General features: G+C 34.8%; 1 protein-coding gene across 19 annotated transcripts in view; it reads right to left on the reverse strand.

Annotated features, from left to right (window-relative positions):
- The window catches only part of PCDH15 (protocadherin related 15), a 1,825,172-nt gene that overhangs the window by 143,713 nt on the left and 1,664,218 nt on the right, over window positions 1-17,241 (reverse strand). For all 19 annotated transcript variants that reach the window (XM_047425663.1, NM_001354420.2, NM_001354429.2 and 16 more), the window contains 2 exons: window positions 15,269-15,409; window positions 13,249-13,361 (listed from right to left, as the gene is read on the reverse strand). In XM_047425663.1, the coding sequence (XP_047281619.1) occupies window positions 13,249-13,361; window positions 15,269-15,409 (254 nt within the window). The remainder of the gene's footprint in view (window positions 1-13,248; window positions 13,362-15,268; window positions 15,410-17,241) is intronic.

Genomic DNA, 17,241 nt, shown 5'->3' on the forward strand with positions numbered 1-17,241 from the left:
GTATGTAGTTTTTTTGGACTGGCCTCTTTCCTTATCAATATGTGCTTAAGTTTCCTCTATGTCTTTTTGTATTGTGATATCTCATTTCACTTTATTGCTGAATAATATTACAATGTATTGGATGTATCACAAATAACTGCACTTTTGTAAGAAGAAAACTGATCAAAATAACTCCAAAATGGTTTAAAGTAAATATTTGCAGATTAAATGCAAACCGAAAAAGTTAACTGCTTTGGAATTCGCATGCACAATACTTACAATATAACCTCATGAAGATATAAACTAATTCATACATATCCTTTTTGTTTTGTTTAGACGGAGTCTCGCTCTATCGCCCAGACTGGAGTGCAGTGGCGCGATCTCGGCTCACTGCAACCTGTGGCTCCCACGTTCAAGCAATTCTCTGCCTCAGCCTCCTGAGTAGCTGGGATTACAGGCGCCCACCACCACACCTGGCTAATTTTTTGTATTTTTAGTAGAGATGAGGTTTCACCACCTTGGCCAGGCTGGTCTTGAACTCCTGACCTCATGATCCACCCATCTCGGCCTCTCAAAGTGCAGGATTACAGGTGTGAACCACCGCACCTGGCCCATATATATCCTTTTAATATTTCTAAGTGTTTTTTGAAAATATAGATTACAATAAATCTTTCAACTGAGTATATATTAACTAATTTTCTGAATAATGACTATAGTAGAATAACATAATTTGCAATGTCTAAATGTTAGACCCAGTTTTTACCGTATAAATATAGATGAAACAATTACAATTTAAAATCTACTTTTATTGTTGAGTTCAAGAAGTAACAATAAAAGTAAATGTTGTATGTGTCAAATAAAGCTTCTAATTATTTTAAAAGCCAGGCAATTTAGGATATAAAAGTGTTTGTAAATAGATGCTATAAAATTTCACTAGGATTCAATCTGGCTCTATTGCTTTCTTTGTACTAAGAGACAAATCTAATTTATTTTGACATGTTTGAGTTCAATATATTTGCAAATCAGTACCAATTAAGATACTGTTTTTCTACCTACTATGAGAGGATTTAATAAAAATGGGAAGGGAAGAATAAAAAAAAAACACCCACTAGAACTCCGATTATTTATAATCTTGGAGTAATTGCATCAGAGTGATCTAATTTTACATATTTAAATAAGAAAAACAGTTTAAAAAAGACATGAATCAGGAGAGAGATGCTAGTTCTTCCAGAATACTTAGGATGGATTTTAGATAAGAAAATTAATGAAGGGCCAAAAGACTAGACACTGCTTTTTACGTATGTTCCAAAGAATGCGTGCTTTCTGTCACTAAGAGTTTTGCTTCTATTCAGTTCCTTAAAGAATCTTCATCTGGAGGATACAAAAACTGAAGTATAAACAATTTATCCAAATATTTGAAAGCAAAAACTGCAATCTAAGGTGTTTGGTTTTTCCTTTGCTTAAATTATTATATTGTTCTCATTAAAATAGTGTGTTCTAATCTCTCATAGTCATTGGCTCTTAAAGCTTAAATCCATAAGAATGCGCTGGAGAAATTTTTTAAACTTACTAAAGTACAGAAGATCCCTGATTTATGATGGTTTGACTTTCGGTTTTTTACTTTACTATGGGTATGAAAGTAATATACATTCAGTATGCTCCTGGACTTACAACGGGGTTAGGTCCTGATAAACCCATCCCTGTTTGTCTACTGCCCTACCTTAATTATTATAGAGGGCCCTTCTCACTCTCAAAAGTGCCCTGCTTTGGACAATAAATTATATGGTCTTACCTATGCTGGAAACTATATGGATATATTAAAGTAGCAAATTTATTCCTCTCGCTTGAAAATTTACAATTTTTTTTTAGTGAGACCGAGTGTACAGGTAATCAGAATTCTGTTTTGAATTATACATTATTTGACATTAATATAGTAATTTCTGCTTTCCCTTGTTTGTAATTGCCAGATATACATTTTCTGTTCACTCTATTTTTGTGCATGTGATTTTGGTTTAAGTACATTACTTAATGGCATAAAATCATGTGTGAAAAGTTTACCAGAGGTAAAAAGCATTCTTAGAAGATTAAGTAAATGGCACAGCTATTAAGCACCGGAGGAGTTGGGAAATGAATGACTTATCCATTATAAATTGGTGATAAAAATGTGATGATTTTGAATCAAGATTTAAATAGTATAAAATTCTACTTTCCATGGAGATTGTGGAAGCACAAAGTGACTTCCATTAAGAGGATATGCATATGTCATTTGCCTGTTTAACACCATTCAATGTCTTCAAATTTCTCTGTGATAATGAACAAAGTTTTTAGTATGACTCAGTAAGTCCCTTCACAGTCCAACTCTCCCTACTTCTCCAGACTCATCACCATAGGACTCCATTTAGTATGCTATTTTGTCTCAAATATGTTTGCATTGATTACTAATAAAATAAAATTAATGTATCCTACTGTATGTTTTACTTGGATCAAAATTTCCCATAGATACAATACAATGAAATAATGGGACGTATAAAATCACTCTTTGTATTGAAAAGTTTGTGCTAAATTCTAAACAGTGGATGTAAGTTGAACTGTTTGGACTTGAGTCCTTTGTTGAAGGAAGACTTGCTTCACTCTGCTACATGAGCAAATGCCAAAATGTGTATAACCTTGGAAATGTGAAAGAGAAATTAAATTCCATGTAGGTGCACAGGGAACCTATCAAAACTGTAATGAAAGATTGTCAGAATCATTTTGTCAATAGTTAAATGGGCGAAACCTATTATGTTTGAGGCAAGGTTTTAATAGTGCCATAAAAAGACAGGAAAGGCTATCTTCAGGTAAAGCCAGCTCTTACATTGGACAACAAATCTAAATTAAAATAGAAAACAATTTTAGCAATCGAGTTATGCTCTCTGCATATGCATTTGTTTTACATTATTTTAATAGTCTTCAGACAGCTTTCATTAACTTATTTGCAATCAAGACAAATCATTCTTTCCAAACTATTGTTCATCTTATTAAAATCTTTTCTCAAAATCTGTAAGTCCAAACTTGGAAGGTTTTATAAGAATGATAGCCTGGGCAATATAGCAAGACACTGTCACTACAAAATAATTAAAAAAAAAATTAGCTGGGCATGGTGGCATGCACCTAAAGTCGCAGCTACTTAGGAGGCTGAGGGCTGAGATGGAAGATTGCTTGCAGTGAGCTATGACCGAGCCATTGCACCACAGCCTGGAAGACAGAATGAGATCTTGTCTCTAAAAAGAAAAAAAAAATGATGGCTATGTTCCTCAACATAAGGTAATTTTAATTCTCTTTAATAATGAAATGTTAACTAGACCTGCTCACTTGCTATTTCTTTGGCCACTGTGATAATATTACTTGCATTTTCATAGTTTACAAAAATGAATGCCTTGATTATAAATTATACTTTTTCTGTTTTGTATATCAAGAGGTATAATGCTAATCCTTTGTTAAATATACTCTAATTTTATTCTTTAATATAAAGCTTCTTGAGAAACTTATTTTAAGTATAAATTGTGTAAAACTTTCAACCTGTCATTTATTACAAAACTAATTCGTATGAATCAACCAACTAGCAATTTTTTATTTTAACAGAGAAAGTGGTAAGATTATCTTTTGAAGAAGAGTTAAAGTTTTTCAAAATTTCAGAATGTTCACATGTATAATATTCTGATTTTGAATTTGATATATTAAATTTTAATAATAATAGAAATTGAAAAGGACTTATAGTATATTCTCTGAGTTTAGCAATATATCAACTTAAGAGGTTAACAAATATAACTTAGGGATATTTGCCCTTATTTTATTATATATATACCAGTATAAATTTTGAATTTAGGTTGTTATGGAAATTACACTTGCAAATATACAAATCTTAAAAATTAACATGAATGTGACACTAAATCATGCAATGGTTAATATTCAAGTTGATACATTTCCATTTTTAAATAAAAAACAAAGGCCTACCTATATAGGTGGCATATATCTTTGAAAATTTTGCAATTAATTGTATTTGGCAAATTTTTTGATAAATTGTGTAATATAATGCATTTCCCACTCAAAATCAATATTCACATTTAGACTCTATGATCTATTCCAGACGTGTTGACCTTTTCATGATATTTACTTTTAAAACTGATGACAAGTGAATTTCAGTGTGTATAAGTCTTAGTCCATCATCCTGAAATGAAGGTCAAATGTCATTCTCATTCTTCAGAAGGCTAACTTACTTCACCTATGGGAGTCAATGTAATCTCAAGTAGTATGTGTTTGAACTACTATTAGGATTTTGCTATTTCTGTAGGGTTTAAATGAAAGATATATAAAAGGAATTTAATGACTCTGACATTGTAACTAATTTCTAAAATATATAAAGAGATAATTGACCGAAAATCTCTTAGTAAATATGAACATGCAGTGACAATGAGAGTATGCCTCTCAGATCTTCAACTACAGGAAGCACAATTGGTCAAGGTCCCAGTTACTGTGGACTGAAATCTGTTTATGTTTGTATGAAGGACATAGTTCCTAAGGGCTGCTTAAGGAGTCAAGTATTGAAATGATTATTAGGCCAACTAAATGATCTCTATAGTCTATTTCATTCATTGCATAATGTGAATTTGAGAAAAGAATTTTTATGAATAAGATTAACACATTTTTCTCAATTTCTAATGAAAAACAAATTGTAGAAAATGATTTAAACAAAGATATGCAATTGTAAATAGATATGAAGAAACTACCTAATCACTTGAATGGTTAAAAAATCAAAGTTTATAATTGGAATATTTCTGTGTAATAGGGATATTACCCGGACTTAATTCATTTCCCTCCCACCCCCACCAAAAAATGAAGCTAGTTGGAGATAATTTTGAGAAAGAGAGGTGGAGGATGTTTCAACAATAAAGAATGAAGAAATGCCATTAGCTTTTTAAGAACTCTTTGTTTAGCTCTTTGTTCAAGGAAAGATAGTAGAGCAAGAAGGAAGAATGATCACATGGGGCATGCAAATTCTAAGACACTAATATCATTGTTATATCTTTGTCAAAAATAGAAACTGAAGGAACCAAATAAAAGAGAAACAATGCATGTGGAAGATTTGTTACAATTTGAGATTTTTGGTCGTGTGTATGCTTCTAAAATATACAAACGTTTGTTTACAGTTGTAGAAAATGTCACAGGATCCTTGGGATGTTGCTTTTCCAGTAGGAAGCCTCTGTGGCTGGTGGCACCTTTACATGAATTTTTTTCAGGCCTACTGGGCTTGTTTCACCCACTCAGCCTGGCAGGCTTCACTTGGCTTCTTCTACCGGCCCAGATCCCATGCCTGCCAAGGGTGAGCCAGGTGCAGAGCAGCAAGGTGGGGATGAGAGTGAGTGTGGGGTCCACCACTGTGCACAGCCAGGCACGCTGGCTGCTGTGGTGGGAAGGGTGGCCCCAGGTGCCAGCACAGATGCCAGCTCCATACAAGCCAGTGGCTGGATCTGGTGCACTGCAAGCAGATTCCACTGAAGGCACCCATGTCTGGATGAGGAGAACGTGGTGGCACCCAGTAGATTGGAGACAACAGAAACCAGAGTCCCAAAGACGGTGTCATAGCCCTGGCTCAGGGAGCTCCTAGGTCTGGGATCCCTGAAGGGCCACTTCGCTTCTCTTCTCTCCTTCTCATTGCCCACAATGTGGCAAGCGGGGAGGCATGTTTCAGCCCTGCTGGTATTACTGCTCTTTCAGTCCTGCCATTCAGCAGGTCCCAAGTTCTTGTCCCACATCTAGGAAGAATTAGGTATATAGCCATCTGAAGGGTGAGCAAGGCAAAGAGGTGCTTCATTGAGCAACAGTACATCTCTCAGGAGACCTGAAATAGGCAGCTCCTATATGCAGGCAGGCTGTCCCGATGTCTGCAGCCCTCAGTGGCGAGGAGACCCAGAGTGGGTAGCTCCTATCCTCAAGCAGGTTGTCCTGATGTCTGCCTGAGTCTGGTTGAGACTGGGGTTTTTATGGGCTTCAGAAGGGAGAAAGTGATATTGCTGATTGGTCCATGGGCAGCCATGGGCAGCCATAGGCAGCCTGGAGAAAGCACCATAAGTTCTCACTCCAGTCCAGGGAACTGGCAGGCTGGGCACCAGCCTTCAGGCAATCCTTGGCTAGAAGGTGGGGTTTCACCAGACCCATCCCTTTCCACCCAGGAGCCTGTCTGCCTTCTGCTGCCATTCATGGCACCCAGGCTGTTTGTGCCCAAGAGGTTCCTGCAGGCCCGCTCCAGGCCACCCCCAGCCCCACCTTGGCTTCTCTCCCATGCTCATTGGTGCCCAAAGTCCAGAGTGGGCTGAGGTGGCAAGGGGCTGGTATGTCAGCACCACATGAGTGTGGGAACACACAGCCAGGTGGTGACAATGCTCGGGGCTTGATGACAGCTTTGCTCTGAAATTGGAGCAGGCCCTGGAAGCAGGGAGAGGCCAGGCATTGGGAGAACACACTTTGAGCATGCAGCAGGAGGGGGGCCCAGGTCCACAGTCTCAGCTGGGTGATTGCACCTGCACCTGAGAGCTCTGGGCTCCAGCCCCTCCAACTCAGAAGTGGGTGGGGCCCCTGCCTGTTCTCAGCTCTCACTGACTCTGCAGAGTGCATAGCCCCAGCTGTGTTTCCCTGGTTGCAGCCAGCGTCTTTGCAGCAAATGCTCCAGACAGGTCGCTGTTGTCATCAAAAGGAATAGTATACAGTATGAAGAGATATATATTTCAAAAGTTTTAAGAAGAACTCATTGTTTTCTGGATAGAACAATTGATCATTAATGACAAATGAAGCACACAATGTCTTGATCCTCCATTTCACCTAAGTGACTCCATAAAAGATTGATGTGAAAAGGTCAAGAAATTAACAAAATGAGTCTGTTTCAATTACTATAACAGCCCTACAAAGCAAAGAGAATCAAGTGTATAGTAATTCTTATCTACTATAACTCTGGCCATTATAAAAGTAAACATATGAGGCAATTTTCTTGCCATTATGTGATTACTCCTACCCTTAATGATTATTGAAAGCCAGCCACCAGGAAATAACATCAGTTCACAGGATTTGAAAAAAAAAATCAAATCTTTTCCCAATACATATAAAATATCTTAATATTATAAATTATAAACCAGAAAAACATCATTTTCCTTGAGAAATGTGTTTTTAAATAATGACAACCTAATTTATTTTATTGAGTATAGGGTTGTCTTTGTAAAATTCTTCAATAATTTTCAAACTTCATTAAGGGAGCATTAGCAGAAAGTAAAGAAGTAATTTTTTTGTTCTGTTTTGTTTTGTTTTGTTTTGTTCTGAGACGAAGTCTTGCTCTGTCACCCAGGCTGGAGTGCAGTGGCGCAATCTCAGCTCACTGCAAGCTCAGCCTCTTGGGTTCATGCCATTCTTCTGCCTCAGCCTCATGAGTAGCTGGGACTATGGGCACCCGCCACCATGCCTGGCTAATTTTTTTGTATTTTTAGTAGAGACAGGGTTTCACCGTGTTAGCCAGGATGGTCTCAATCTCCTGACCTCGTGATCCGCCCATCTAGGCCTCCCAAAGTGCTGGGATTACAGGTGTGAGCAACTGCGCCCGGCTGTAAAGAAGTTTTTAAATATGCAAATGAAACAGAGGCAGAGCATGATTAACTATGTGGAAGAAGGGGCTGGTTTTTTATTATGTTGTTACTTTTACATAAGTCAGAAAGCCTACTAATTATCTGTCATCAAAACTTCACAGGCAAACCAGTAGGTTTTTCCTTTAGTAAATATTAAAGTACTTACTGTGGTGTTTATTACTTGTGTCTATTATTTTGCTATTTTACAATTTTGGAAGAAGACAATGATAGGTCTATTGTTATATTCCAGCAACTAATCAATTACCAATAGAACAACATAGAAGTGCTTTCAATTCTAAAAAAAGAACAATGGATTTTGTTTCTCTGTCTAGCTAGAACTGGTATACTGAAAAACGTATGCCAAATAGTAAATGCGAACTCTGAACCATTTTTGATCAAGGTCTTCACAATGCTAGTTTTCAGCTCATAACTCAAATTTACACTTTGCCATTATGCTTTCATTTTTATTTTCTTTATATTTTACTTCTGTGACCAAGACACTGCAACTTCTCAGAAAACTGGAGAAAGTAATTCATTGTATAAAATATTCAACCTTTAGCTTGAAGTCCAGAAAGGTTTGGCTTGGAATATGTAATGTTAATACTCATTAAACTGAAATCACTAAAAATACAGATTTTTAAAACAACCAGAAATGTTAATCTGAGATTTGCTTTGAATTAAGAAAATAAATATTCATTCTCTTGATATTTTAAGAACAATTTACTTCACTAACGCATATTTAAATGTAAAAATGTTTCTATTCTATCATTAGCTCATGTACCCCATGGTGCATTCTAACTAATCAGTCATTTTAAAATCACTGTGGCAATTAAAATCTATGAATCTGTAAATTGTTTACAATCACATGTTTAATGTGCTAGGTCTTCACCTACACCATTTCCCCTTTTTCCTCAACAACTGAGGTTGAACTAGGACACAGTTGCCTAGCAAGGAACAGCATTCCTCTCCCCTAGTTAGAGCTAAATGTAGACCCGTACCTGGATTCTCACAACGTAATGTGAGCTGAACTGAAATGTGCAATTCTCACCTCACTTGGTTAAGGAAATCTCTAGATGTGGACTTCTGTCTGGTTTCCCCTTTCTGCTGACTAAAATGGTAATAATGAGTTATTTTGAAATAGAGTGTTGAAGATGGTGACCCCTGAGTTGTCCCAGGTCCCTGAACTTTAAACCATTGATATTTGGTGGTTTCCTATTACAGTGACCTAAACTACCCTAACTCAGTCTGATTACCCTGAGATTTAATGATTTAATGACTGTCTAATAGAAATAAGTCAACGGAGTCAGTGACAGAACGGGGACGTATGGGTCAATAATTCAGTTAAACATTCTACGATAAATAAATACTTTATCTTTAAAATCTCTCTTTTATACCTAATCATTTGTTAAATGCTAATTTTTCCTATGGAATTCAAACACAAGTATTGGAACGAAGACATTCCTGAGATGTAAAAGCCATGTGTACCTCAGCTTACAGTGCTAGATTACTGCTTTCCATTTGTAACACATTACCTTCCCCTACACCCTACAAAGAACATAAATCTTGAGCTATCATTTTTATATTTCCCCCAAATTTGATCACAAGAAGTAGAAGTTTTTTCACTAGGAGCAATCCCAACACGAAAGACCATCCTAATAATCAAAAATTAATAATGTCATTTAGCATCTCTGGGAATAATGTGCATCCAGTTGAGGCAGTAAAATGAATTTGAAAAAATTAGAGAAGAATGAGGCATATGAGGTTGGCAGAAACCATTCTGTGCTTCACTTTTTTTCATTAAGAAAGGAAAGTGTGTTGGCCTCTAAAGCAGCCTGAAATGGCATAGGCATATTGCCAAAGCTAGCAATTGAACATATTAAAAGAAAATACCATACAGAAATAAAAATATTCTACCATGAATATTTTCATATTTCCATATATTCATATTTTGCAATATGAATGAGAATGACTTTTAAATATGATTAATTAATTATGCGATTAGTTGTTGGAAACTAATAAAATGTTGAACAACTTATATTAGTTGAAACAACAGTAGCTAATAGGACTAAGCCTGCTCAGGAAATGATGCAGACCACTTAGTTCCATATTTTTTTGGCCAGAAATCAGTCAAACGGCAGAATTCAGAATTCATCCCTAGTTAATAAGGAGAGGAAATGTAATCCAGCTATATGCCCGTGAGAAAAAGGATTTAGGAGGCATCCAGATACTGCTATGTATTTCCTCAATGGTCTTCAAAAAGAATGAAGAGATAATTGAAGATGATAATCATTAGCCTTAAGTTTCTTTATAGTTCAGTTAAAATTTTGGTTCAAATTTAGACCTATATAAACATTTATATTCAATTATTTGCATTTATCCAAAAAGTAGTGTCCTTGTTCATATTTGGCATAACATTTATTTTTCAAATTTTCTGGTTATTTGATAAAAAATTAATCCTTTTAAGTACTCAAGTACTACTAAATGCATTATGATCAAGATACTGATTCTTAGCATCTCTGGGAGTTATGTGTGTACAGTTGTGTATATTATTAATACACAGTAGGATGCAACAAGATTACCAAATTCTCTTTATAACTCAGAATAACAAATGAACTGGGATAATCAAGGGCAATTTTGTAATTGTTAGAATTCTGGAAGATCAAAATTCTCCCACATGTACCCATGTGACTGTTGTTAATTTTAGTACCATATAATTGGCTAACTTTTGCTCTCTAAGTTAACAACAACTTTATTAAGAGAATCTATTTGTAGTTAATAGTTCTATGCAGAGACGGTATGAAATGGTAAATTATACGTTGAACAACACATTCGCATTTTTAAAACATGGCATTAAGCAAAGATACTTAATAAAGAAAGTTAAATGAGCAATGCCCTGTTTCAATTTATGACCTTGGCCTCAATGCCACAATATTTTAGCTAAAAGAGAAGTCTAGAGGCATATTTCTATTGACAAGGAAATGAGCTCTAAATGAAAACCTAGAGAAACAGTACACCACTTAAGTTTATTTAAAGAGGAAGTTTAAGCAATATATCACTTTCTTCTCTTGGAGTTTCCAAAGATAATTAGACTTGCCGCAAGGGGCTTTGAAGAACACAGATGGGAATTTTAAGTTAAAACTGTGAGCGTTTTTTTGGATCCACTTAGAAGACTAAGTATATTTTTTGAGAACACCTGATCTAGATAATTTAGTGAGAAACAAAGTGAGTTTATATCCGTCCTGTTCTTGAGAACTCCAAAATTAACATGTTCAGAGAAGTTCTTCCAAAACAGAAAACTGTGCATAGGAGTCCCCCTTTATTTATGGGGGATATACTCCAAGACCTCCACTAGAAGCCTGGAACTTCAGATGACACCAAAGCCTATATTTACTATGTTTTTTTTTTTTTCCTGATAACCCAGACAGTTACTAAGTGACTGATGGGCAGCCTGGATACAATGGACAAAGGAATGATTCAGCTCCAGGGCAGAGTGACACAGGACAGCACAAGATTTCATCATGATACTCAGAATGCCATACAATTTAAAACTTACGAATTGTTTATTTCTGGAATTTTCCACTTAATATTTTCTGACCACGGTTGACCTCGGGCAACAAACTGTGAAAAATGATACTGTGGATAAGGAGGGGACTACTGTATTCCATAGCAAAGAATTGGAATCCAATCCAAAGGATTGGAAGCACAGGTTACTGTGTCAGAAAAAAAAGGAAAATAATAGATAATAATGTACATGTGGGTGAGAATAACCTTTTAAAACAGATTAAACAAGAATTCTTATTTGTTTTACATATGGTTTACATCTCGATGATTTACATACATGCTATGGAAGATTTTCTGGTAATTATATTACATAATTTAATTTTGTGTAGATTCTTCTAAACGCAGCTTTGTATGAGAGGATGAAACTGCTTGGTTCAGTGGGTTAAGTGCTTGCAGATGTATCCCTCACCTACCTTATTCCTCAGTACCTTAGCTGCTGTTCTAGCTTAAAATTATTAATTCATTCTAAGAAAGTAAAAAACACTAAAGTCATCCTAGAACATGATCAAGTTCTCCATTACCTGAAATATTCATTTTTCATTATCCTCAATTATTATCATCATCCAACTTTCAATTTTTCTTTGGATAGACTAAACTACTAAAATATTCTGGAATTTAATGTAGACTCCCACACCCCTTATTTATATTTCTGCATAGGCTGAATATTTGGTGTGGAATATCCATCTATATCTTTTTGGATTGACTAAACTCTACATTTCCTTCAATCTACAACTTAAAACTGTGTTAATCATGTTCAAATATAGTTAAGTGTCCCTTAGCCTGCTTCCTCAATACTGTGATCTTATTTCTACCATTGTGTTCTCACAGTGTATTATATTTTTCATATAGTTATTTGTTTCCAGAGATACCAGAGAGCTTGCTTTCTCTCTCTCTCTCCAGATAAGGACATGGCAAAAAGGCAGCTGCCTATTAAGACCAGAAGAGACCCTGAACCTGACCATGCAGACACCCTGGTCTTAAACTTGGATTGTCAGCTACCAGAACAATAAGAAAATAACTTTCTGTTGTGGCCGGGCACAGTGCCTCACGCCTGTAATCCCAGCACTTTGGGAGGCTGAGGCAGGTGGATCAGGAGGTCAGAGATCGAGACCATCCTGGCTAATGCAGTGAAACCCCACCTCTACTGAAAATACAAAAAATTAGCCAGGCATGGTGGTGGGCACCTGTAGTCCCAGCTACTCGGGAGGCTGAGGCAGGAGAATGGTGCAAACCCAGGAGGTGGAGCTTGTAGTGACCCGAGATTACGTCACTGCACTCCAGCCTGGGCAACAGAGCAAGACTCCATCTCAAAAAAAAAAAAAAAAAAAAAAAAAAGAACAGAATTTTCTGTCGTTTAAGCCACCCAATTTATGGTATTTTGTTATGGCTGCCTCAGTTGACTAAAACAGTATATATACTAACCATAAACTATAATATATAATATTGGTGTATATGCATATAGTGTATATATATAAATGTATATGTATTATATATGTGTATATATAGTGTGTATATATATATACACACAGTATATATATAAATTTATGTATACACACAGTATATATAAATACACACACTACATTTATATATATATATACACACTATATATATACACATGCACTACATATTTACACACACAAACGTACACACATACACACATACACACTGATTAGATGGAAAATATGATTGCAGATTGCATGCCAAAATTGGAAATTGAATGAAATGTTCCACCTGGCAATAATGAGAAACTAAAGATCTATTTCTCACCATTCAGATCATTAATTAGAATTGAAACCCCAAAATATAATGTTGTATTTTAATAAGTTTGCACTAATTTTTTAAAAAGTATCCATTATTCATTAAACCATTACTAAAACATATTTTATACTAAATTGTCATATTAACCATTTAAAAATTTAAACTATATTTTATGTTAATTTAGAAACGCCTAAACCAAAATTGGAAGTCTACTCATAAATTCATATTACATCAATTTTGAGAGACTCCTTTCAAAAATGCCCTAAACATTTCGTGTATTTCAAAATCGGACAGAAATCAATACCTATATTCCTCCTGTGTGAAGCGTGGGATCTCACCAGGATGTAAGACAAGAATCTTCACTGTGGCACTGCTGGACATCACAGGCTCCCCATCATCAAAAGCAACCACCACCAACTTAAAAAGCAATAAAAATTCATGTTAAAGATTATAAGTAAGAACAGCGTAACAGCACAATTTTTATATGTATGTTTTTACTTATTGGATTGCCTGGTTCCAGAAGGGGAAGCAATGATCATTTCCTCACTGCCTACCAGGTGGCAGACACTATGCTAGAAAATACTACGTTCTCACTTAATCTTTACAATAATCCAGCCAGATAAATGTTATTATTTTCACTTGCTAGATGAGAATACTCAAAGAAGTAACTAACTCTATGATTAAAAAACAACTACCAGTAAAACAAGTGTATTATACTATATCTCTCCAATTAAAGACTCATTTCTATAATTCCACTGAAGCCCACAGTAAATACACATGATTTTATAGCACCAATACACTTATTTAAGAAGTGTTAAATTCAGACACATAAAAAGCTAATTATCTTGCTCAAAAAAGAAATTAATTTTCCTAGTGAATTAGTTGTTTTTGAGATTATAGGGCAGAAATACTTTACTCTAGAGGATAAAATTGGAAATCTTTATAGTTTAACACTCTTTGGTATACTATCTCTTAAAAACAAATTATAAGGCCAAGTTCATTTGGTATAGCAGAAATTGTTCAAATGATGAAAACTAAGAAAAAGCTTTAGTGTTGAGATGTGATGTCTGACATTATTTATCACTGCAATAGGATTTATAATTGATTATTTTCTTTAATAACCTACATTACATCAAAGTAATTCTATGTTTACTTTAAGACATGTTAAATACTTTCAGAACTATGTGCTTCTTTGGAATATAAATTGTTTTGGAAGCTGCAGGTTAACAATGTAAACTAATTCAACCTAGATCACAGAAGACTGTAACCAAGGATCATCCTGAGAGCCACAATTGACCTTTGGGTTAATGCTAATTTACAAACTGATCAGCTGTTCCAAACAGCGGTAAAATCATGAGAGACATAGTGCTCACTGATCCTTACGTGGTTAACTGATAAAGCTATTTCCCTACTGTAGAGTCAAAGACTTTATTCACAGTGACAAAAATTATTCTAAGTAACTATTAAAAATGGAAATGTTCAAACACTTAATAAAATTGTCTACTTATGGTAATGCAAATTATTGTTTTAATACCTTGCCAGGTAGAGACAGGCATTATTTTGTCAAATATATTTTTAAATATGTAAAAAACAAAAGAGGGAATATGTTCTGTTTCATTAGTATTTGAAGAAAAGTAAAATTTGACAAAAAATCAAATAGATACAGATATTTTCCTAGATATATGCAAAGATTAACATAACAACAATCAGTATTGAGTGGTATTAGGAAAATGGATACTCTCAGGAAAGATGAAGAATGCATACAAGGGGTATTTTTTTCAAATTTTCTAGGATTGTAATATATCAATCTTATCTTAAAAAAGTGAGTAAGGGAAAAATGATATTCATACAAGTAGTTGCATGATAGCATTTATTGTAACAAAAAATGGAAAGTCTAATTATAAAGCAACTCAGTATTATATTAAAAAGAAAAACAAAATGTTATATAGTAAAATACTATGAAACCACTAAAATAATAGTATTAATGTCACTTATTGGCATAGACAACATCATATTGAATTTAAAAACCAGTATGTATAAGACTATGTGATTTGAAAACATATATTTATATATTTGTGTTTGTATGAAATGTCATCATGAGGATAGAGATCAAAACGCAAATTCTAGCTATTTCCAAGATGTGAGATACCAAGTGGTTTTCTTTTTACTATTTTTGTAAGTTTCTAAGAGAAAAAAAAATTGTAATTTAAAAAAATTAAAAAGGAGAAAAATTGAAAGAAAAAAATGTGCTGTCATCTGTTAAGCCAAATTCTCTATCAAAAATTAAACATCAAATAGACCACATAATGAAAAGAGACACTGACCTTAAAAATTGTTGTAGGTTCTTCATTAAGATTGACTCGTGTTATTACTCTTCCAGAATCTTCTTCCACTTCAAAAATACTGGCAGGGTAAGGAAACTGTACATCATCTACTCTATACCTCACACGACTTGCAGGTAATCCCTAAAATAAAATTATTAATTATTAATTTGCTGTTACCAAGTTAAAACACAGTGCAATGATAATATTAAATGGATCTTTAAAATTCATGGTCTTTTAGAAGTGAAAATCATATTTCCATATTTTCATTCTTTCAGAGCTGAAATGTAGCCAGATCATTATTTCTTCATGATAACTCAATCTGAATCAATGAAGTATCTCTACTACAGGTTATTTTAAAATGATTTATATGAGAGAAAAATTAATGGTTGCTTTGGGCATCTTCTCTACCACTTTCCTTTAATTATGTGAATTACATCTTCCTCCCAAAACACCCAATATCTCCTTTTTTAAATTCAGAGACAGGGTCTTCCTTTGTTGCCCAGGCTGGAGTGCAGTGGCATCACCATAGTTCCCCATAACCTCAAAACTTCTGGTTTCAAGTGTTCCTATCCCACTTTAGCCTCCCAAGTAGCTGGGAATACAGGTGTGTGCAACCATGCTTGGCTAATTTGAGAGGACTGTAGTAAAGTGCAGGAATGGACATGAAAGCTAAAAAAACAAAAATTATTTACCATCTACACTGTGTTGATTACCATGCTAGGTATTTCTATACATCATTAGGTTAATGCTCAATCTTTTAAGATGACATTAATAATGAAGATGATAGTAATAATGGTAAGTTAATGACGCTAACAATTGCTAGATGCTTACCACTTGCCGGAACCACATTAAAGATGATGTATGTGTACTCTGTTACCCATTTTAGAGCTAAGGAACTTGTGGCTTACAATAAGTTAAAGAGTGCTGAAATATTCCAGAGATAGGCCAAGATAAGTTGGGACACCAAACAAAGTCACTTTTAAAGAAAACAATTAAAATTTGATAAGTTTTTAAAAGAATCAAAGTGATTGTAAAGGAACAGTCAAAATTTTGCTGGCTGTCCTCACTTATATTAGGTTTCAGATTGGTTTCCTTTGGAACTATGTAGGGTGACATTGAGGTGAGCACTGTAACATTTACAGTGCTTAGGCCTTGTAAATTTCTTAAAACCTAGAAGTCAAATAAATATCTTGAGCAGAGAACTAGTATGTGGTAAAGTTTTACTTCAAACCTAAACACTAAATTACAACATTAACTTCTTCAGAGAAAGAAACACTCCTATTTGGCATTATTCTGATGAAGAAGAAGTAAGAACATTACCCCCCACAGGGTGTTGATTTGGCTGGACTTGACACTTTGGTGTAAAAACTGTTCTGAGAACATTGCTTTTTATATTTCCATTTTCTTCAAGACTGTCCTTGAAAATAATCTGTTGCTCATGTTGGTTCCTGAATTACAGTTGGGCTATGAGATAAATATGAGTTTTCAGGATTTGTATAATTCCCTATTTTCTGTTAGTTCAGTCCTTTCATATACTACACGTCACCACTGATGACTGTCTCCTTGAATACATTCTTTATTTAACCTTTTTCCACTATTCTGCCTTTTCTCCTTCCCATCTGGTGCTCTGTCTCAGACTCTGCTTGTTCCCACTCTTTCTGGCTACTAAATGTTGGAGTTTTCCAAGGCTCTGTTTCAAGAACTTCTACATTTTCTACTTCTACTCTCGGCCCCTGGAACCTCTCCCAGTCTGATAGCTTCAAATATCTTCTATTTGTTCATAAATATCAAATTTTAATATCTGGCTAAACTCTGAACATTTTAAGTCCAAACTAGTACACATAATTGTCCACAGATATGCTATTTTCAAATAAATGTATTCAAAACCAGAATGATTTCATCTCCCAAATTTATAACTCTTCTACTATAGATAATGGCTCTACCTTTTACTAAGGTGTTCTATCTGAAAGCCT

This window comes from Homo sapiens, chromosome 10 (genome assembly GCF_000001405.40).
Source record: "Homo sapiens chromosome 10, GRCh38.p14 Primary Assembly".
Classification (NCBI taxonomy): Eukaryota; Metazoa; Chordata; class Mammalia; order Primates; family Hominidae; genus Homo; species Homo sapiens.